The sequence below is a fragment of the Homo sapiens genome, chromosome 2 (genome assembly GCF_000001405.40).
Source record: "Homo sapiens chromosome 2, GRCh38.p14 Primary Assembly".
NCBI classification, from domain to species: domain Eukaryota; kingdom Metazoa; phylum Chordata; class Mammalia; order Primates; family Hominidae; genus Homo; species Homo sapiens.
In genome coordinates, this window is record NC_000002.12 from 222,582,501 (window position 1) to 222,605,971 (window position 23,471).

Below are 23,471 nucleotides of genomic sequence, written 5' to 3' on the forward strand. Positions count from 1 at the left end.
TAGCCTATATTCTAAGTACAAAAAGTAATAAGGATAAATTTTAAGCTGCTTTCAATAATCATATTGTTGATAATAGTATTTTTATTTTGAAACTATGATAGATAAATAGATAAACAGAATGAGCAAACAAGCAATAATGTAAATTCGGGCGCAGTGGCTCACGCCTGTAACCCCAGCACTTTGGGAGGCCGAGGAAGGCAGATCACTTGAGGTCAGGAGTCAAGACCAGCCTGGCCAACATGACGAAACCCCATCTCTACTAAAAATACAAAAAATTAGTCGGGTGTGGTGGCAGGCACCTGTAATCCCAGCTACTCGGGAGGCTGAGGCAGGAGAATTGCTTGAACTCAGGAGGCAGAGGTTGCAGTGAGCCGAGATCACGCCACTGCACTCCAGCCTGGCAGACAGAGCAAGACTATGTCTCCAAAAGAAAAAAAAAAAAAGAGCAATAATGTAAATTCACTAGGAACCAAGATTCTCACTAAAGAAAAAGAGATAAACTAACACAGGAACAGAAAACCAAACACTGCATGTTCTCACTCATAAGAGGGAGTTGAACAACAAGAACACATGGACACAGGGAGGGGAACATGTTAAAAGCAAACTGAAGCCAGCTTCAAGGGACTCCTGCTGGCCAAACTGGGGACAATTTGAGCATCAAAATAAATGACTGTAATGGATCTAAATACACTGACTAAAATCAGCAGCAATGAGTCCATACTGACATAACTAAGTATATAGGAAAACTGATTAGAAACAGTATATTTACATAATTTCAAAGCTCTTCCCCCACAAGACATTTATTAATTATAATGGAGAAAAGAATAACTTTACAGTACAGATGACTGGTAGCTACAACCTTAATTAAGTGATTACAGTGAACATTATCAGTTATTGGATAAATGAAAATTGCGTGCCACTTCATAGCATGCATTGGGAAGTTAGCATTACTTCTCTACCATTCCTCCAAAGATGCCTAACAGGAATTTAATTAGTGAAGAAACATCAGACAAACCAAAATTGAGGAACATGCTACAAAATAACTGGCCTGTAATCTTCAAGTGTCAAGGTCATGAAAGTGAAGAAAAGACTATTCTAGAAGTCACCAGGAGACTAATGAGACATGATGGCTGAAGAAAACAAGTGACTCTTTGCTATTGATATGGTTTGGCTGTGTCCCTACCCAAATCTCATCTTGAAATGTAGTTCCCATAATCCCCATGGGAGGGTCTGGGTGGGAGGTAATTGAGACATAGAGGCAGTTATCCCCATGCTGTTCTTGTGATATTAAGGGAGTTCTCACAAGATCTGATGGTTTTTTAAGAGGCATTTCCCCCTTTACTCACTCTCACCCCCTTTACTCACTTTCCTGCCGCCCTGTGATGAAATGCCTTTCACCATGATTTTAAGTTTCCTGAGGCCTCCCAAGCCATGCAGAACTGTGAGTCAATTAAACCTCTTTTCTTTATAAATTACTCAGTCTTGGATATTTCTTCATAGCAGCATGAGAACGGACTAATACAGCTATAAAGGACAATTGATAAAACTTGCATAGGGCCTGAGGGTTAAATGGTGGTTAACATAAACTTCAATGTTCATCTGATTTTGATGATTATTATTATGGTTATAGAGAATGATGTCCTTGTTTATAGGAAATATACACCAAAGTATTCAGGGGTAACACGATATCAGATTAGCTCTCAAACAGTTCAGAAAAAAAAAATTTTGCATACCACTTGCATTTTTAAAATAAATTTTGACTATTTCAAAATAAAAAATTAACAAAATGGGGACTTCAGTTATAGAAGTTGCTTAAAGGGAGTTTCCATCCAATTCCCCCCAAAAAAGTTTTAAAAATTATTGCCCTGAATTTGGGGTCCAAGATAACCGAATAGGAACAGCTCCAGTCTACAGCTCCCAGCGTGAGCAATGCAGAAGACAGGTGATTTCTGCATTTCCAACTGAGGTACCAGGTTCATCTCACTGGAACTTGCTGGAAACTAGGTGCAGCCCATGGAGTGTGAGCCAAAGCAGGGCAGGGCATCTCCTCACCCAGTAAGCACAAGGGGTCGGGGAATTCCCTTTCCTAGCCAAGGGATGCCGTGACAGACGGTACCTGGAAAATCAGGCCACTCCCACCCTAGTACTGCCCTTTTCCAACAGTCTTAGCAAACAGCACACCAGGAGATTATATCCCATGCCTGGCTCAGAGGGTCCCACGCCCACGGAGCCTCGCTCACTGCTAGCACAGCAGTCCCAGATCGAACTGCAAGGCTGCAGCAAGGCTGGGGGAGGGGCATCCGCCACTGCTGAGGCTTGAGTAGGTAAACAAAGCAGCTGGGAAGCTCAAACTGCGTGGAGCCCACCTCAGCTCAACAAGGCCTGCCTGCCTCTGTAGACTCCACATCTGGGGACAGGGCATAGCTGAACAAAAGGCAGCAGAAACTTCTGCAGACTTAAACTTCCCTGTCTGACAGCTTTGAAGAGAGTAGTGGTTCTCCCAGCACAGAGTTTGAGATCTGAGAACCGACAGACTGCCTCCTCAAGTGGGTCCCTGACCCCCGAGTAACCTAACTAGGAGATACCTCCCAGTAGGGGCCGACTGACACCTCATACAGCCGGGTGGCCCTCTGAGACAAAGCTTCCAGAGGAAGGATCAGGCAGCAACATTTGCCGTTCTACAATATTTGCTGTTCTGCAGCCTCCGCTGGTGATACCCAGGCAAACAGGGTCTGGAGTGGACCTCCAGCAAACTCCAACAGACCTGCAGCTGAGGGTCCTGAATGTTAGAAGGAAAACTAACGAACAGAAAGGAATAGCATCAACATCAACAAAAAGGACATCCACACCAAAACCTCATCTGTAGGTCACCATCATCAAAGACCAAAATTAGATAAAACCACAAAGATGGGGAGAAACCAGAGCAGAAAAGCTGAAAATTCTAAAAATCAGAGCACCTCTTCTCTTCCAAAGGAATGCAGCTCTTCGCCAGCAATGGAACAAGGCTGAACAGAGAATGACTTTGACAAGTTGACAGAAGTAGGCTTCAGAAGATCGGTAATAACAAACTTCTCTGAGCTAAAGGAGGATGCTCGAACACATCGCAAAGAAGCTAAAAACCTTGAAAAAAGATTAGAATGGCTAAGTAGAATAAACAGCATAGAGAAGACCTTAAATGACCTGATGGAGCTGAAAACCATGGCAAGAGAACTATGTGACGCATGCACAAGCTTCAGTAGCTGATTGGATCAAGGGGAAGAAAGGTGACTGAAGATCAAATGAATGAAATGAAGCCAGAAGAGAAGTTTAGAGAAAAAAGAGTAAAAAGAAATGAACAAAGCCTCCAAGAAATATGGGACTATGTGAAAAGACCAAATCTACGTTTGATTGGTGTACCTGAAAGTGACGGGGAGAATGGAACCAAGTTGGAAAACACTCTACAGGATATTATCCAGGAGAACTTCCCCAACCTAGCAAGGCAGGCCACCATTCAATTCAGGAAATACAGAGAACCCCACAAAGGTACTCCTCAAGAAGAGCAACTCCAAGACATATAATTGTCAGATTCACCAAGGGTGAAATGAAGGAAAAAAATGTTAAGGGCAGCCAGAAAGGTCCAGTTACCCACAAAGGGAACCCCATCAGACTAACAGCGGATCTCTCAGGAGAAACTCTACAAACCAGAAGAGAGTGGGGGCAAATATTCAACATTCTTAAAGAAAAGAATTTTCTACCCAGAATTTCATATCCAGCCAAACTAAGCTCCATAAGTGAAGGAGAAATAAAATCCTTTACAGACAAGCAAATGCTGAGAGATTTTGTCACCACCAGGCCTACCTTACAAGAGCTCCTGAAGGAAGCACTAAACATGGAAAGGAACAACCGGTACCAGCCACTGCAAAAACATACCAAATTGTAAAGACCATTGATGTTAGGAATAAACTGCATCAACTAATGAGCAAAATAACCAGCTGACATCATAATGACAGGATCAAATTCACACATAATAATATTAACCTTAAATGTAAACGGACTAAATGCCCCAATTAAAAGACACAGACTGGCAAATTGGATAGAATCAAGACCCATCAGTGTGCTGTATTCAGGAGACTCATCTCACATGCAGAGATACACACAGGCTCAAAATAAAGGGATGGAGGAAGATCTACCAAGCAAATGGAAAACAAAAAAAAGCAGGTTTTGCAATCCTAGTCTCTGATAAAACAGACTTTAAACCAAAAGATCAAAAGAGACAAAGAAGGCCATTATATAATGGTAAAGGGATCAATTCAACAAGAAGAGCTAACTATCCTAAATATATATGCACCCAATACAGGAGCACCCAGATTCATAAAGCAAGTCCTTAGAGACCTACAAAGAGACTTAGACTCCCACACAATAATAATGGGAGGCTTTAACAACCCACTGTCAACATTAGACAGATCAATGAGACAGAAAGTTAACAAGGATATCCAGGACTTGAACTCAGCTCTGCACCAAGTGGACCTAATAGACATCTGCAGAACTCTCCATCCCAAATCAACAGAATATACATTCTTCTCAGCACCACATCGCACTTATTCCAAAACTGACCACATAGTTGGAAGTAAAGCACTCCTCAGCAAATGTAAAAGAACAGAAATTATAGCAAACTGTCTCTCAGACCACAGTGTAATCAAATTAGAACTCAGTATTAAGAAACTTACTCAAAACCACACAACTACATGGAAACTGGACAACGTGCTCCTGAATGACTACTGGGTACCTAACGAAATGAAGTCATTAATAAAGATGTTCTTTGAAACCAATGAGAACAAAGACACAACATACCAGAATCTCTGGGACACATTTAAAGCAGTGTGTAGAGGGAAATTTATAGAACTGAATGCCCACAAGAGAAAGCAGGAAAGATCTAAAATCAACATCCTAACATCACAATTAAAAGAACTAGAGAAGCAAGAGCAAACACATTCAAAAGCTAGCAGAAGGCAAGAAATAACTAAGATCAGAGCAGAACTGAAGGAGCTAGAGACACAAAAAACCCTTCAAAAAATCAATGAATCCAGGAGCTGGTTTTTTGAAAAGATCAACAAAATTGATAGACCACTAGCAGACTAATAAAGAAGAAAAGAGAGAAGAATCAAATAGACGCACTAAAAAAATGATAAAGGGGATATCACCACCGATCCCACAGAAATACAAACTACCATCAGAGAATACTATAAATACCTCTATGAAAATAAACTAGAAAATCTAGAAGAAATGGATAAATTCCTTGACACATACACCCTCCCAAGACTAAACCAGGAAGAATTTGAATCCCTGAATAGATCCATAACAGGCTCTGAAATTGAGGCAATAATTAAGAGCCTACCAACCAAAAAAAGTCCAGGACCAGATGGATTCACAGCCAAATTCTATCAGAGGTACAAAGAGGTGCTGGTACCATTCCTGCTGAAACTATTCCAATCAATATAAAAAGAGGAAATCCTCCCTAACTCATTTTATGGGGCCAGCATCATCCTGATACCAAAGCCTGGCAGAGACACAACAAAAAAAAAGAGAATTTTAGACCAATATCCCTGATGAACATCGATGCAAAAATCCTCAATAAAATACTGGCAAAACGAATCCAGCAGCATATCAAAAAGCTTATCCACCATGATCAAGTTGGCTTCATCCCTGGGATGCAAGGCTGGTTCAACATATGCAAATCAATAAACGTAATCCAGCATATAAACAGAACCAAAGACAAAAACCACATGATTATCTCAATAGATGCAGAAAAGGCCTTTGACAAAATTTAACAGCGCTTCATGCTAAAAACTCTCAATAAACTAGGTATTGATGGAACATATCTCAAAATAATAAGAGCTATTTATGACAAACTCACAGCCAATATCATACTGAATAGGCAAAAACTGGAAGCATTCCCTTTGAAAACTGGCACAAGACAGGGATGCCCTCTCTCACCACTCCTATTCAACATAGTGTTGGAAGTTCTGGCCAGGGCAATTAGGCAGGAGAAAGAAATAAAGGGTATTCAATTAGGAAAACTGAAGTCAAATTGTCCCTGTTTGCAGATGACATGATTGTATATTTAGAAAACCCCATCGTCTCAGCCCAAAACCTCCTTAAGCTGATAAGCAACTTCAGCAAAGTCTCAGGATATAAAATCAATGTGCAAAAATCACAAGCATTCCTGTACACCATTAACAGACAAACGGAGAGCCAGATCGTGAGTGAACTCCCATTCACAATTGCTACAAAGAAAATAAAATACCTAGGAATCCAACTTACAAGGGATGTGAAAAACTTCTTCAAGGAGAACTACAAACCACTGTTCAAGGAAATAAAAGAGGACACAAACAAATGGAAGAATATTCCATGCTCATGGATAGGAAGAATCAATATCGTGAAAATGGCCATACTGCCCAAGGTAATTTATAGATTCAATGCCATCCCCATCAAGCTACCAATGACTTTCTTCACGGATTTGGAAAAAACTACTTTAAAGTTCATATGGCACCAAAAAAGAGCCTGCCTTGCCAAGACAATCCTAAGCAAAAAGAACAAAGCTAGAGGCATCATGCTACCTCAAACTTCAAACTATACTACAAGGCTACAGTAACCAAAACAGCATGGTACTGTTACCAAAACAGAGATATAGACCAATGGAACAGAACAGAGCCCTCAGAAATAATACCACACATCTACAACCATCTGATCTTTGACAAACCTGACAAAAACAAAAAATGGGGAAAGGATTCCCTATTTAACAAATGGCGCTGGGAAAACTGGCTAGCCATATGTAGAAAGCTGAAACTGGATCCCTTCCTTACACCTTATACAAAAATTAATTCAAGATGGATTAAAGACTTAAATGTTAGACCTAAAACCATAAAAATCCTAGAATAAAACCTAGGCAATACCATTCAGGACATAGGCATGGGCAAGGACTTCATGACTAAAACACCAAAAGCAATGGCAACAAAAGCCAAAATAGACAAATGGTATCTAATTAAACTAAAGAGCTTCTGCACAGCAAAAGAAACTACCATCAGAGTGAACAGGCAACCTACAGAATGGGAGAAAATTTTTGCAATCTACCCATCTGACAAAGGGCTAATATCCAGAATCTACAAAGAACTTAAACAAATTTACAAGAAAAAATCAAACAACCCCATCAAAAAGTAGGCGAAGGATATCAACATGTACTTCTCAAAAGAAGACATTTATGCAGCCAACAGACACATGAAAAAAATGCTCATCATCACTGGCCATCAGAGAAATGCAAATCAAAACCACAATGAGATACCATCTCACACCAGTTAGAATGGCAATCATTAAAAAGTCAGGAAACAACAGGTGCTGGAGAGGATGTGGAGAAATAGGAACACTTTCACCCTGTTAGTGGGACTGTAAACTAGTTCAACCATTGTGGAAGACAGTGTGGCGATTCCTGAGGGATCTAGAACTAGAAATACCATTTGACCCAGCAATCCCATTACTGGGTATATACCCAAAGGATTATAAATCATGCTGCTATAAAGACACATGCACACGTATGTTTATTGCGGCACTATTCACAATAGCAAAGACTTGGAACCAACCCAAATGTCCATCAATGATAGACTGGATTAAGAAAATGTGGCACATATACACCACGGAATACTATGCAGCCATAAAAAAGGACGAGTTCATGTCCTTTGTAGGGACATGGATGAAACTGGAAACCATCATTCTCAGCAAACTATTGCAAGGACAAAAAACCAAACACCGCATGTTCTCACTCATAGGTAGGAATTGTACAATGAGAACAGTTGGACACAGGAAGTGGAACATCACATACCGGGGCCTGTCATGGGGTGGGGGAAGGGGGAGGGAAAGCATTAGGAGAAATAACCTAATGTAAATGACAAGTTAATGGTTGCAGCACACCAACATGGCACATGTATACATATGTAACAAACCTGCACATTGTGCATATGTACCCTAGAACTTAACAGTATTAAAAAAAAAAAAAAGATATCCTACCCTTTTAGGCCAAAAAAAAAAAAAAAAAGACAATTGGGAAAGGGGGACATTGACTGGATACTTGGATACTTGTTGATATTCAGAAATTATTGTTAATTTTGTGTGATGATATTGCAGTTATGCTTTTTAAAAGAGGAGTTCCTGTATTGTAGAGATGCATCTTGTTGTATTTACAACTGGGAATAATGCAATGTCTTAGATTTGCTTCAAAATAATTTAGTAGTGTGGAAAGTGGGTGAGGGTACCAATGAAACAAAATTGACTCTGTACTGATCATTGTTGAAATTAGACAATGGGGACATCGGGACTTATTATGCTAGTCTCTTTATTTTTATGTATGTTTTTAATTTTTTATAATAACAAAGTTTAAAAAAATTATTGCCCTAGTCCTACACCTTGATAGAAAAGGAAATAACTAAATGTGAACACATCAATGGAGATGGGACTTTTGGAACATAGATAAACTCAATAAACTCATTTGCTTGGACACTGGACATATCTACTTAAAAAATAAAAGAATTAGCTGGGTGTGGTAGTGTGTACCTATAGTCCTGGCTACCTGGGGAGGCTGAGATGGGAGGATCACTTTTGCCTAGGAGTTGGAGGCTACAGCGAGCTATGATCATCAAGCCAGGGTGCTCCAGCCTTGGTAACAGAGTGAGACCCTGTCTCTTAAAAAAAAAAAAAAGGAAAGAAAGAAAAAGAAAGAAATACGAGCTGAACCATCAATGTTCTGGCAGACATTCCTTTTTAAGTCGGTGTTAATGAAAAATAATTACTCTTAATTTTCCAGTATCCAGAAATGTCAAAAACCTTCAAGCACCTAGAGTTCCTGTGCAACCGGAACTAGAGAACACCCAAAGCCTGAAATTTAATTGATTTATGAATAGCTAGACAGATATCAATCACTTTTCACACTCACAATGTACCACCTCTATGTGATATGATGAGTTGGTATTGCTACAATCTTAGTACTCATAATCACAGCACACAAAAGAAAAGCAAGTGAAAGTAAGGTAGAAAGAGAAGAATAAAAATGCCTAATCATCTTTGCTGTAGCATTCATAAACTTCTTCATTTTCTACAAGGGTGGGCTTCAAACTTTTGTAAGACAGGTAACCCTTTGTTCAAATCTTACTTGGAAGCATATATACAATTTTTTTTTAAGTGGCTTATCAGTGGGAGCCAAGAAGACATTTTAAAAGCCAGTCCTCTAAAACATATTTCCTGGGAGTGGCCAATGCCTTCATTAGCAAATGCAAATGCAAACTGGAAATAAATGCCAATGGTTACCAGTAATAACCTTAAAGGCAATAATTTAAAGTGTGTCCAGGAAAACACTTTACATGTAGATACAAGAATGAGCCATCTAAATGTGTTCAAAATAAAGGGTTATAGTGGGGACAGGCAATGAATGAGAATGAACAATTTCACTAAGAATTTTAAAATAACTTAGAAGTTAGCTTGAAACTTGATTCAGTTTAGAGCTGGATGGCATCTTAATACTGCCAAGGGGTTCCGGCAAGTAGGAATTAAAATATGATTTGTAAGTGAGGATTAGTTTCAGCTTTAAGAAAGAAACTCCCAAATGGCAATGGTTTAAACAAGATGGAAGTTTTATTTCTCTCTCTTGTTAAAGCCATAGTAAGTGCTCCAGGGGAAAAAGGCCTTTATTTTTTGTGGTCATGTGCTCAGGAGATCACTCCACATTACCATCCCTACCTAGGGATTTATTCAATGTGTTTTCCTTCTTTCCAGCCACCCATCCATCCATTCTCTTAATCCTTCTGGAGTAGAGCTGGAACTGGCCACTTAGAGCGTTGACAGTTTATCAGAATACATCATGTTCTAGGAATTCCCAGGACAGTGACTCTTAACCAATATGCTGCAGCACACAAATGTGCCAAAACCGAGTGCTGCCCCATTTTGGCCAATGCATAAAACTGCTGATACCTGAGGAAAGTAAATCTGTCTCACATGTATAAGATAAAAACTGAGTAATCAGAATCATCCTAAAAATCCTTTGAACTTTCAGGACCCGGGCCCTTGAAAGATCACAAGCTAAAAATGAACTTCTTTTATAATTCTTTGTATTTGGGCCACAACATCGTTTTCTATAGAATAGTGGAGGCCAAGATCTAGTATGGATGCAGAAGAGAAGAGAGGACCATGAGGTAAATGAAAATATCTTCCTCTTTTTTTGCCCAGTATATACAGCTGGATGTAAATACAGTAGTCTCCATTTATATGCAGTTTTTCACTTTCCGTGGTTAACTGAGGTCTGAAAATATTAAGTGGGAAATTAGGGAAATAAATCATTCCTAAGTTTTAACTTGTGCACTCTTCTGAGTAGCATGATGAAAAACTGAGTAGAGTTGTCCCTCTCTGACCTCCCCAGGACATGAATCTTCCTTTCGTCCGGTGTGTCCACAGTGTATACACTACCTGCCCGTTAGTCACTTAGTAGCTGTCTTGGTTAACAGACTAAAAACGTATCATATATATAGTGTTCAATACTATTTGCAGTTTCAAGCATCCATCGGGGGTCTTGGAATGTATACCCTGCAGATAAGAGGAGACTACTATAATTCCAAAGTATTCATTATGTTATAGCACGCATTTTCCACAGGGGCGGAACTGGTTCTTAGAGGAAAAGGGGCGGGGCAGGGGGGTATGAAAAAAATCTTCCATATTAAAATGGTTTGCATTGCTCCAAAGCTGAGCCCTACTTGACAAAAACCTTACTCCTCAGTATTTAATTCCTCTCATTGTGTTTTCTTGGGTATCCCACAAGCAACATTAATATGGAAGATACAGTAAATGTGTGCAAGAACACTGCTATAAAACTATGGCAGCAGATGGCTGTGATTGGAAGACTCTATCCATTGCTAGATCTCCAAGTCACATTGAATGGGAGGCCATTTGACTGCCTTGTGGCTGATCTTTAGAGCTTTTGTGTGTAGCTTAGGCTCTGATAATTAAACAAAAATAGTTTATATGTTACTATTTAATTCAAAAGGTTATTTAACACATCATTAGTTATGGTAAGTACTCAAAAGACTAGGCGTGGTGGCTCACACCTGAGGCCAAGGCAGGAAGATCACTTGAGGCCAGGAGTTCAAGATCAGCCTAAGCAACACAGAGAAACTGTCTCTAAAGAAAACAAAACAAAACAAAACAAAAATTAGCCAGGCATGGTGGTACGTGCCTGTAGTCCCGGCTACACTGATGGCTGAGGTGAGAGGATCACTTGAGCCTGGGAGGTCAAGTGGTGATGGCGCTACTGCACTCCAGTCTGGGTGACAGAGTGAGACCCTGTCTCAACAACAACAAAAAGTACTCAAAAGAAAAAAATGCTGACAATATCTATCAACTAGATAAAAGTTATTTTCTTATATCAAGGAAAAGTTAAAAGTTAATTCACTAAAAATTATTTTAGCTGGGCGTGGTGGCTCACACCTATAATCTCAACACTTCGGGAGGCCAAGGCAGGTGGATTGTTTGATACCGGGAGCTTAAGACCAGCCTGGGTGACAAGGCAAAAACCCGCCTCTACAAAAAAAAAAAAAAAAAAAAAAAAAAGAGCTGAGCATGGTGGCATGCCCTGTAGTCCCAGCTACTTGGGTAGCTGAAGCGGGAGAATCACAGTGAGCCATGATCATGCCACTACACTCTAGCCTGGGCAACACAGCAAGACCCTGTCTCAAAAAATAACAACTGTTTTACTTTTGCTAAAATAAGTTTTGAATGATTTTTATAATTTTTTATTACTATTACTATATGTATACATTGCTGATTGGCAAATATAATTTGATACACTACAGTTTATGTAAGTAAATAAATAACATTAAGAGTTACCCAGCAGATATAAAGTGAAATGTTAATCATTTTTAAATTTAACTTAAAAATTTTGCTTAGTTATTGATAACCCTGCATCGAAATTTTTAAAAGTAAGCTTTACACTTACTATTTTTATGTATACAGCACAGCTATACGTACAGTACATAATAATACATATATACAGTATATATATAGTGAATCTGTGGTATTAAAATTTCATGAAGGAGCAATTAAGGAAAAAGAAAATATCTAAAAAAGGCCCTTAGTGGAGAGATTAATTTTAAAAAGGTTAAGAAACACTATTACTACAATATCTATCAGAGGGAATACCAAGCTGACCAAGCCATTCATCTTGGGACTTTATTCCAATTTGCTACAAGTACTAAAGTATCACGAAAACATCAAAATACCTACCCCTCAAAAAGAGTTAAGTGAACATGAGTGGAGAGAACTTTGCCTTGTGCATACAAGAGAGTGAGGCAAGAGCAGTAAAAACAAGGCAGGGCTAAGTGACTCATGTGATGATTGCTGAAGCTTCTATAAAAACAGTGCCTGTGTTATACCACTATTCCAACTGTGTAGGAATCACTGCTTATTTGTTTAATATTGCTTTGTCTTTTAATTCCTTCAAAGAAGCTAAGAAAAATGATAGTATTTGAAAGCTTGCCTCAAACACAAAAAAGCAGACATCCAGAGGAATCAAAACTGTTTCCATACAGACTAACCAAAGGTCAGAAGCTTAAAAACTTCCAATTTTTTTCAACCTGTTGTCTTCACAATTTATTTGTTGATGGTAACTAAATGTGGGCATGCTAGAAAGATCTCCCTTTATTATAGTCCAGAATGTTTTGTATAAATCAAACCATAAATTGAACACTTTTACTTCAACAAGTTGTTCAATAGATATTTTTCTCATATATTTCCAAGCTCATGTTACACTAAAAACCAGTGTGATGACCAGGGAAACATCACAATTTCACCCATATTTTTTAGCATCTGAAATCTTTCACAGGTGTCCTGAAAGGGGAAAAAGGTCATGAACTCCAGGTCATTAGGTATTACTGTAGCAGAAGGTACTACCCACTGTGTATACAGATGGTACAGGATTAAATGTGCATATTACTTACAAGGTTATTTTTCATTTCACAAAATGTATTCTGAGCAGCATGAAAACTAGAATTGTCAAAACTAAAGTTCTAAACCTTTTGTCTCTCCAACAGGGATCTTGTCACAAGTTAAATTCAAGTTTTCTGTAGAACTGTAAATAATCAAAACTGAAATAGGTAACAAGCTAAAGGGGAAAAAAAATCACAGGCTCAAGTCAACGCAGCCAATCACACACAAAGCCCATACATTCTACAAGAAATAATTTTTGCCACTGATCTGCCCGGCAACCACATAACTGTTCCAAATACAAAAATGTGGAGAATTTTCCTTGCCCAGAAGTGGTTTTTGAAAAGGATAGATGCCTCTTAACATACATAATTAAGTTTGCAACAAACCACAAAAAATGAAGGGGAAGAAGCCTGAAAAAAAGAAAAAGCATATATATATATATATGCCATAATAATCTGATCCAAAGCCACTAAAATATTTGGAGTTGAACCCTTTTGAAACTCTTAAAATGCTCTGCAGTCTGCTAAAAAGTTAAAGGTTCTTCTTTTTTTCCCACTCAACATTGATCTTATTCTGTCATCAACTTGACATTCTATCTCAAGTTGTTAACTGCAAGGATGCTCAGCAAATAAGAAATATGTAAGACCAGGGGACCACGGCTTTTCACTCTAGCTACAACTACGGGCTTTCTGGGTGCTTTTGCAGATACTCCACATGCTGCAGAGGACTGCCCCCTGCATAACAAGCAAGGTTACGCTCCAATGTCAACAAAACTCCATAGGTTAATGCGAAGATCAATCAGATGAATTTCCAGATTTCTTATAACGCACGGAGCCAGGTTTCTCAAAGGTGAATCGAGTTCTGTTCCATTCATCCCTACCACCAAACAAAGCAGTACAAAAGAAAGCTTAGTAGTGTACATTAAAAGGACAGGAAGAAATAGGTATAAGTGCCGACGTAACTGACATATGCAGGAATCTCTGGAGAACAGACTTAGCTCAATTATAACTGCAAAGCCACTAGAGATTTTTAATTATTAAAAAGTAAGCCATATGCCAGAGTAATATCAGACAACTCAGTAATCAAGAATGGCAGGGAACAGTAGTTCTTAATCTGCTTCCACTCTACTTTTTAATACTCTGAAGACCTTTTCTTAGTTGAAAAAGCTGTATGTAAAATAACAATAAACTGGAGGAAATGATGCAGCTAAACATGCCCCAGTAACAAAATTCCTGTGTTTACTGATTTGCTTAGGAGTCTGAAAAACAATTTTGTTCCTTAGTTGTGGTATGTATGTGTGTACGTGTGTGTGTATTTTATATACACACACACAAACACATACATATATATTAGATGAAAAACTTAATACCAACTTTATTACTGACTTATTTTGACAAGCCACTTCTTTATACATTGTTTTCTTCAACCATAAACAAAAAAGGATAATCATACTTGCCATTAGATAATCAAAACAGAAATCCCTATGAGAAATGAGGAACCATTATTTGTAATGATACCAATTCTCTGTGGCTTGATGGTTCTTGCAGAAAGCACCCTGAGAAAAAAAGCACTCAGAGCTAGATGTGTGCCCAGGACTCCAAGAGACTAATGCGGCCAATGATGGTGATAGGGGGTGAAAGTAAATCTCCTGCCCTTTTCCAAAGAAAGCCCGTTAGATATACTGAAATACATACTGATTCAGGCTGCCCATGTGTAAAAAGCTTTTCATGTTCATAAATCTTGGACATTTCATACATGGAAAAACTTCAAAAGATTACAATGTTCTACTATGACAGCCAATGTAGATTCAAAAGGAACCACAAGTCTGAGTCTGTAAATATTCATGCTAAATCAAAAACCAAAATAACAACCTGGCCTAACAAAATTGAACATAAAGACCTACAACCACATCAGAAGTAGTGACAGTTTAGGAATGTGTATTTCCTAATTAAAAAAAAAAAATTCTAAACAAAAACAGCAGACATCTACATGTTAGGAAACTAGATACTAAGTATTATATTCTGTATGGGTGCTAAATTATATGGAATTCAAATTATAACATCATAAGTTTAGAATTAGAAAAACCTGACTTTTAAGCAGAAGATCAACACAAATTAGCTGTATCACAAAAAGTTCCAAGTGGCACTATCACAAAATTTTCCAAATGATGAATGCTGTGGCTTCTATCTTCTTAAGGTTTCTTAAATCAGTCCTTTCCTTGGATCCTATGAGCACGATCCAGGCCAAGTCCTCATTATCACTCCTCTACAATGTGCTAAAATCCCTTCCCACCATTCTCTTCACCTCTGCTCTCCATCCCACCCAACCTACATATTGCTGCTAAATTAATCCTTTTAAAGTACAGATCTAATATCACCTACCTGCTTTAAAAGAAGAAAAAAAAGAAGCTTTAATGCTTTTCTCCTAACTAGCTGCAGCCTTTCCCTAGCATTCAAGACTCCAAATATAGTTTCAAGCTCCTTCCTCACCCTATAGCCAAACCACACTACACTGTCTGCTGTGTTTCCAAACATACAGCCTGTGTTTCCTATCATTAGTTTGCCTTGCTTCCCCTGTCTCCACCTATTCTTCCAAAGGCCCATCTCACTTTGCAGAAACTCCCTATTGTTTTTCTGGATGCCCTGAAGAAGTTGCACTTTCTTCCTCTTCGGAAACATCAAGACAATCATTTTAACATCTTGGTTTGAGGGTCGGTATGTGGTGGTCTTTTCCCTGGCTGGTTGCTTGACAGCAGCACCTGTGTCCTACTTATCATTGTCTTTTCTGAAGTCTGCCTTATAACTAGGAACTCACACTCTTCTGATAAATAAATATCTAAGGAACTGATTGAAGCAGGAGAAGTCACAATATTAAGATACCAGTTTACAGAAATATTATCCATCTAAAGGTTACACAAAGCATCACATCCACCACAAGCTATGCTCTCATTTACCATTTCAGCTCTTTGCAACCTTTCAAGTATGAAAGAAATTGGACCTCACGTTCAGGACGCAATCTGCATCAAATTTTTATCTAGCTAAACTGTTTAAGAAATAAGATTTCTGAGAAGATTGTGCATGGAAGGAAAAGAAATGCTTCACATCAGCTTACAGGTTGCCATAAGCCTGGATGACCTGGTCTTAAAGCAAAATTCTAGGATGGTAAACTGGTGAATGAGTATATACAGGCACTAAAAAGGCAGACAACACTGGCAAGGATACTGGGAGGCAGAAGCTGTGGGGTCAACATGCATGACCCGGCTCCGGCTTCTTTAACTTGCCTAACCCCAGTTCCCTCACTCATAAAACCGGGCTCGTGGGCTGGATGAACTCCAAAATCCAGTTCTAACATCTAGAACTCCACAAGCATAACAATGTCTGCATTTTATTATTTCTCATGGAAAGTGGGTAAGAAACAACTTCCTGCTTATTTAATCTCTCATTTATTTAAAAAAAAAAAAAGAACCACACACATCTTCAATCTAAAAAAACCCATAGATTTCAGGGTTATTTTCAAAGGAGTCTCAAAATGAAAACAAAAACAAAAATTAAACAACCACCAACAAAAACAATCCCTGAGGACTAATAAATAAAAGAAAAAAACATATTACCCCACCAAATCTCATTACTAACTGTTAAATAACACTTTAAAAGTAAATGTTCTGTTAGAAATTTAAGATGCCAAATAGAGTTATAAAGCACAGTGAGGTAAACGGTAGGAATAAGTGGTGAAATATTTCTCTCAAGTTGTTTCTGGACCTTTCATCTAACAAAATAAATTTAGATTGAAGCTGCAGAAATATGAAAAGCAAAAATTTCAGAGTTCCTTGGATAATGAGAAACTATTAATAGAATATTAGGAGCACATATATACCATTTAGTTAGCCTAGCTTAAACTCTCCAACAAAGATTTTACTGTACTTGGGATTTTATACACGAGGATTCCCACCCTTGCTCTGCAAACTTTATGACTTGATTAACATGTGTGAAATCTTTCAGAATAACTTCTGAGGTTTTTGTTTTTGTTTTCTTTTTTCTTTTGTCTTAAAGCCATCAGACAGGCAGCTTTTGAGTGCAAACCATCACTTTAGGTCTTACCAGCTTCCAGTTAAAACTTCTGGGTTCACCATGTGCTGATGGCTTAAAGGTGCCAGTGATTTAGCCATTTTGATGGCTTAAAGGTGCCAGTAACTAGGGGTTACAGCTCAGTTGGAACGAAAGTATACTGTGCAGCACTTACGAGAGTTCTGAAAAGTGTTTTCTTAAAATGCTGGAGGGAAAGGGGATATTTTCTGGATAATATTGACAATTAATTGAAATAAAACTCTCCCTTTCTTTCTAAAATCCCAAATCAAAACTACCAACTTCATCAAAAACAAGGTGTAGCCTCTTCCTGACACTGTCACTAACTCTGGATTCGGCTCATCTGTCTTACCTTCTGATGCTTTGATCACATATCCCCCCTTGTCTTCACCAGGAGGCACATCGAGCAACTGCATAATTCTGTCCAGCAGCCCATGAATGATCTCAAACCCAGGATTCTTGTTGTAATAAACAGCACAGAGATGTCTGTAGTTTTTTGCACCTACATCTAGAAAAATAAAGGAACTGGTCACAACGCTGTATTAACCATTGCTTAAGAAACTGATTTACCCCAGTACAAACTTAGAAAAAGTCAACAAAAAAGAAAACCAAATATTAAACATTCAGAGAAGGATTCAACCTCACAAATGCAAAATAAGATAAAATAGTCTTTTTTCAGCTCATCAAATTCCCTAAGGTGTTTTATTTGGGGGAAAGAGTGAAAAACCCTCAATGCTGACCAGGGAAAATAAGGCTTCACTGAGGTATAAGTTGGTAAAATTCTTTGTAAACAATTTACCAATATATCAGAGCCTTAAAGCTTCATACTCTCTTATTCATAATATTAATACTACCCAAAGGAAATAATCCTAAATTCAAAAAGGCTTTATGTAGAAAGACATTTACTACAACATTATTTCCAATAGTAAAATTATAAACAACCTATATTAGGGATGGCTACATAAAGTACAGTGCAATCACTCATCAGGATACTAAGCGGCTATTAGAAAGCATCTTTATGATGGTTTATCATAACACAGCAACAGCAAATACTTATCATAGTAAATGAAAATTAAAAAGAGACCACAAGGTTCAAAAAGAGGCAAAACTAAATTACATTGTTTAAAGAACAAACATAGATTGGAAAACTATGAAGCAAGTAAGGTAATGACTATGACCAAAGTTAGGCTAACAATTACCCTAGGTTAAAATGAAGAATCTGTGATGGGGAGGGGTCATATAAGAAGCTTAGGATACTGGCAATGTTCCATTCTTAATGTGGCTGATGGTTACACTAGTGTGTACTTTGTAATATTTTAAAAACTACCTATGTTGAATACATTCTTCACAAAGCATAAAAAAAGCAGAATACTAAAGTTTATGAAGCTATGCTACCACATGGGTGAATCTTGAGGACATTATGCTAAATTAAATAAGCCACTCACAGTAAGACAAATACTGCATGATTCCATTTATATGAAGTATCTAAGTCATGAAACTCGGAGAAACAGAAAGTAGAAAGGTAGCTGCCAGGGGTTGGAGGGAAAGGGAATGGGGAATTGATATTGAATGAGTATAAAAGTTTAGCCATGCAAGATGAAAAGTTCTAGAGACCCACAACAACGTGCACATAGTTAACACTACTGTAACTGTGCACCTCTAAAAGTTTACTAAAAGGGTAGCTCTCATATGTTTTTTACCACAATAATAATAATTTTTTAAAGTATATGAAGAATAGGGCCAGGCAAAACAGCTCATGCCTGTAATCCCAGCGCTTTGGAAGGCCAAGGCAAGAGTTTGAGACCAACCTGGGCAACATAGCAATACCCCATCTCTACAATAATAATAATAATAATAATAAAAAGATGAAAAACAGAATCACAACTACATAAATATAGCCATAAGCCAAAAAACCCCATGAACAGAGAAAAAGACTGAAAAGAAATATACCTAAATGTTAACAGAGGTTATGTTTGGGCAAGGATAATTTTTTCCAACTTTTATTTACTTCCCAGTTTTTCCATGATTAGTATATATTATTCTACTTTGAAAACTAAAACAAACTTACAAACTCAATATTTCATTTTATTTCACTTTATTTTTTGAGATAGGGTCTCGCTCTGTTGCCCACCCTGGCGCAACCACAAATAATATAAAAGTGCACTGCAGCCTCAACTTCCTGGGCTCAAGCAATCCTCCCACCTTAGCCTCCAGGGTAGCTGGGACCATAGGCACACGCCACCACACTCAGCTAATTTTTTAATTTTTTGCAGAGACAAAGTCTCACTCTGTTGCCCAGGCTGGTCTCAAACTCTGGGCTCAAGTGATCCTCCTGCCTCAGCCTCCCAAAGTGCTGGAATTAAGGTGTGAGCCACTGTGCCCAGCTAAAGGCAATATTTTAAAAAAGAATTCCAACAGTCCAAATGAACACTGATAACAAACTGGTACATCCATACAGTAGGATACCACTCAGCAACAAAAAGGAACAAACTGTAGATAGACTTGACAACCTGGATGACTCTCAAAGGCATTACGCTGAAAGAAAGAAGGCTCTCAAAAGGCTACAGACAGTATGAGTCCATTTATATGACATTCTGGAAAAGGCCAAACTTATGGGAACAGAGAACAGATAGTAGTTGTCTGGGATTAGGTATGGGAAAAAAATGCAACTAAAATAAGGCGTTTTTAGGGTGATGGAACTTTTTGATCTTGTAGTGATAATTATAATCATCTAAACCTCTCTCAATTTACAAATCTAATGTGATCTTAAAAAAAATACCAATAGAATTGAAAAAAATTACATAAATGGATTCTAAAGTTCATATAAAAAAACAATAGTGATAGAGGGAGACTACTAGATATTAAAATTTATACATCTACAGCAATTAAAACAGAGTGGCAATAATTTGTGAGTAGTCATACAGATGAGTGGAACAGAACAGTTCAGAAACAGATCTAAATACTTACAAGAATTGAGAATATGATAAAGGTGGCTTTTCTTTTTTTTTTTATACCATATTATCCAGTAATTCTACTTCTTTTTTTTTTAATTTTATTATTATTATACTTTAAGTTTTAGGGTACATGTGCACAACGTGCAGGTTTGTTACATATGTATACGTGTGCCATGTTGGTGTGCTGCACCCATTAATGAGAGAAGTGATATCTTTATGATGCTGCGTATTTCTATGAAAGAACGTGGTGTATCTTCCCATTTGTTTGGGTCTTATTTCATCTCTCATTAGCACTTTAACATTTTCTACAAATAATATTTCTTGTGTTTATTCCTAAGTATGTTATCATTTATGTTTTGTGCTATTATAACATGGGTCTTTTCTTCCCTTAGAGCTTGAAATTAGACATATTGTATCTATAAAAGCTATTGATTTCTGAAAATTAATTTATTAAATTTTTATTTTGTAAAAAAAAAAATCATCTAAACCTGTAACAAAACTCATTTTTAAAAAGAAGTACCTAAGTATAGAGAGGAAGACTGAAAGTCAGCAGTCATCATTTAACTTTATAACACTTGTGGCCCTTCAATACATTCTGGAGACCGCTGCTCTAACACAAACATAGAACGAATGCTGGCCTCATTTTGCTTTCCAAATTAAAAAGAGAAAAAACAAACTAATATCTGAGGGAATAAACTGAAAACAGAAAGCTGCTTCATGTTAGCATACATTGAGCAAAACTTCTTCCACGGATTTACTCCCATAGGTAAAAGCTACTAGCAATAGTTGACATAAAATACAGAATGCCTTTTATCTTCTAGATATCCAAGTAAAACATGAATATTTTAAGACACTGTACTCTAATATTAAAATAATATAAAAGTAAGCACATAAATGGAGGAAAACGAAAACTAACATTAACTGTTAATCTGTGGTATCGATTATCTGGCACATGCTAGGTATTAACTATCTGTCAATTTATCTATAATCTTATTTAATTCTCAAGACAACCATGCAAAGTAAGTATTATTATTCCTATAAAACAGATGGAGAAACAAAGCTCAGAATGATTAAGTAACTTGGCCAAAGTCAAACTAATTGGCTGGAGCTAATACGATTAATTATATTATTATTAATATAATTAATATTATATTATATATTATTATATATATTAGATAATAATAATAAATATAATATTAATTATATATATTAATTAATTATATTGCTAATACGATTAATTATCTGGTCAAAACCAGGATTTGACCAGAATTAACTGACTGTAAAACCCATGCTCTTTCCACTATAGGGTACACCCAAAAACATTTAAATGAAAACAAACAATATAAGGGCAAGCTTATGTATGGCTATATATCCACTTAATATGGTCAAAGATGTGCATTGTTGAGGCCAGGCGCGGTGGCTCACGCCTGTAATCCCCGCACTTTGGGAGGCCAAGGCAGGCGGATCACAAGGTCAGGAGATCGAGACCATCCTGGCTAACATGGTGAAACTCCGTCTCTACTAAAAATACAAAAAAAATTGGCCAGGCATGGTGGCAGGCACCTGTAGTCCCAGCTACTCAGGAGGCTGAGGCAGGAGAATGGCGTGAACCCGGGAGGCAGAGTTTGCAGTGAACCGAGATCACGCCACTGCACTCCAGCCTGAGCAACAGAGCGAGACTCCGTCTTAAAAAAAAAAAAAAAAAGATATGCATTGTTGAAATGTTTTTTATATGATAAACAGATGTTTTATTTTCAAAAGTTTTTGTGAAACTTAAGAATTCCATTTAAGCAACTGAAATAAATTATTTTTAAGAGTCAGTGAAGTTTCTAGCCATGAAAGTATTGTTACTTATGGAAAGTATATTCTGAGTTGAACTTCGGACTGAACAGATACAAAGAAATAACTGCCCTTGCCATTTAACATTTCTCAGTACACACTATATTCAAGGCGCTCTATTCTAGATATTCTTTGATGATAGAGGTCAAAGCCAGTACAAGACATCTACAACCTAAACCGTCAGTAATTCTTCTTTGTTTCTTTGAGACAGGGTCTCACTCCAGTAGCCCAGGCTGGAGTGCAGCAGCATGATCTTGGCTCATTGCAGCCTTGACTTCCCAGGCTCAGGCGATCCTCCCAACTCAGCCTCCTGAGTAGCTGGGAGTACAAGCACACATCACCATGCCCACTGAATTTTTTTTTTTTTTTTTTTTTTGTATTTTCAGTAGAGACAGGGTTTTACCATGTTGCCCAGGCTGGTCTCGAACTCCTGGGCTCAGGCAATCTGCCTGCCTCAGCCTCCCAAAGTGCTAAGGCTACAGGCATGAGCCACCATGCCAGACCTCAATAATTATTTTCTGAGTAAATGCCTACAGCCTAAAAAGAAGATAAGCACACACAAATAGCTATTAAACAGGGCCAGGAGCAGACAGTGGGCCATATCTATGCCAGCTGAGATAAGCGAGGAGCATACCACTGTCACCTCCATCATTTCCATTTTTAAAGATAAAGAAATTTGGTATCTAAAAGCTATAAGTCGACATTAAAATCAGACAGGCACAAAACCTCACTAAACCAACCATATTCATAAACTAAATTGAAGAGCCTGATTCCACTGTAGGAATACAAACTTTCTCTCTCTCTCTCTCTCTCTCTCTCTCTCTCTGTGTCTCCCTTTCTTTCATTCTCTCCCTCTGAAGGGAAAAAAATGAAACGAAACAGAACTAAATTATCCCTTTCATACTACTGACTTGCTTCTGGGTATTTTTGCCATGTGGTACCCATTTGTTGGTGTGGATGTCACATGCTTCCACTTTAACACACAGGCACGTATTGAAACAACTTTGGAGTTCCATTTTTGCTGTGAGAGAAGAGCCCAACAGTAATACTACCATTAAGAGAGAGCTTAGCAACTAAACTGGAAGCTTTATTTTGGTAATCTTTGCCAAATTCCAAGTACTTTTTTCCTGATTTCTAAATTATGTAAAGCTTTTATATTTCTGATATGAGCAGCAATATCTGGATTAAAAATTTAGAATTTTAAAAAACAAATTAAGTAAACTTGTGATGAGAATAATAAAATCACAATTAAAAAATATAGAATGTAGGCCAGGCACAGTGGCTCAGGCCTGTAATCCCAGTACTTTAGAAGGCCGAGGCAGAAGGATCACTTGAGCCCAGGAGTTTCAGACCAGCCTGGGCAACAAAGTGAGACTCCATCTCTACAATAAATTATTTAAAAAAATGTAAAGATTAGCCAGGCACACTGGTGGTGTCATATGCCTGTAGTCCCAGCTCCTTGGGAGGCTGAAGTGGGAGGATCCCTTGAGCACAGGAGTTCGAGATTGCAGTGAGCTATGATCATGCCTGAGTGACAGAGTGAGACCCTGCCTCAAAACAAAAACAAAAACAAAAGAGAACTTAAAAAATTTATACTCTATTT

At 37.8% G+C, this 23,471-nt stretch overlaps 1 protein-coding gene across 4 annotated transcripts in view; it reads right to left on the reverse strand.

The window, feature by feature from the left end:
* The window catches only part of FARSB (phenylalanyl-tRNA synthetase subunit beta), an 89,194-nt gene that overhangs the window by 15,602 nt on the left and 50,121 nt on the right, over nt 1-23,471 (reverse strand). For all 4 annotated transcript variants that reach the window (NR_130154.2, NM_005687.5, XM_011510466.3 and 1 more), the window contains one exon: nt 17,428-17,583. Coding sequence is in view for 3 of the 4 variants with exons in the window: in NM_005687.5 (NP_005678.3) it covers nt 17,428-17,583 (156 nt within the window). In the remaining variant the exon portion in view is untranslated. The remainder of the gene's footprint in view (nt 1-17,427; nt 17,584-23,471) is intronic.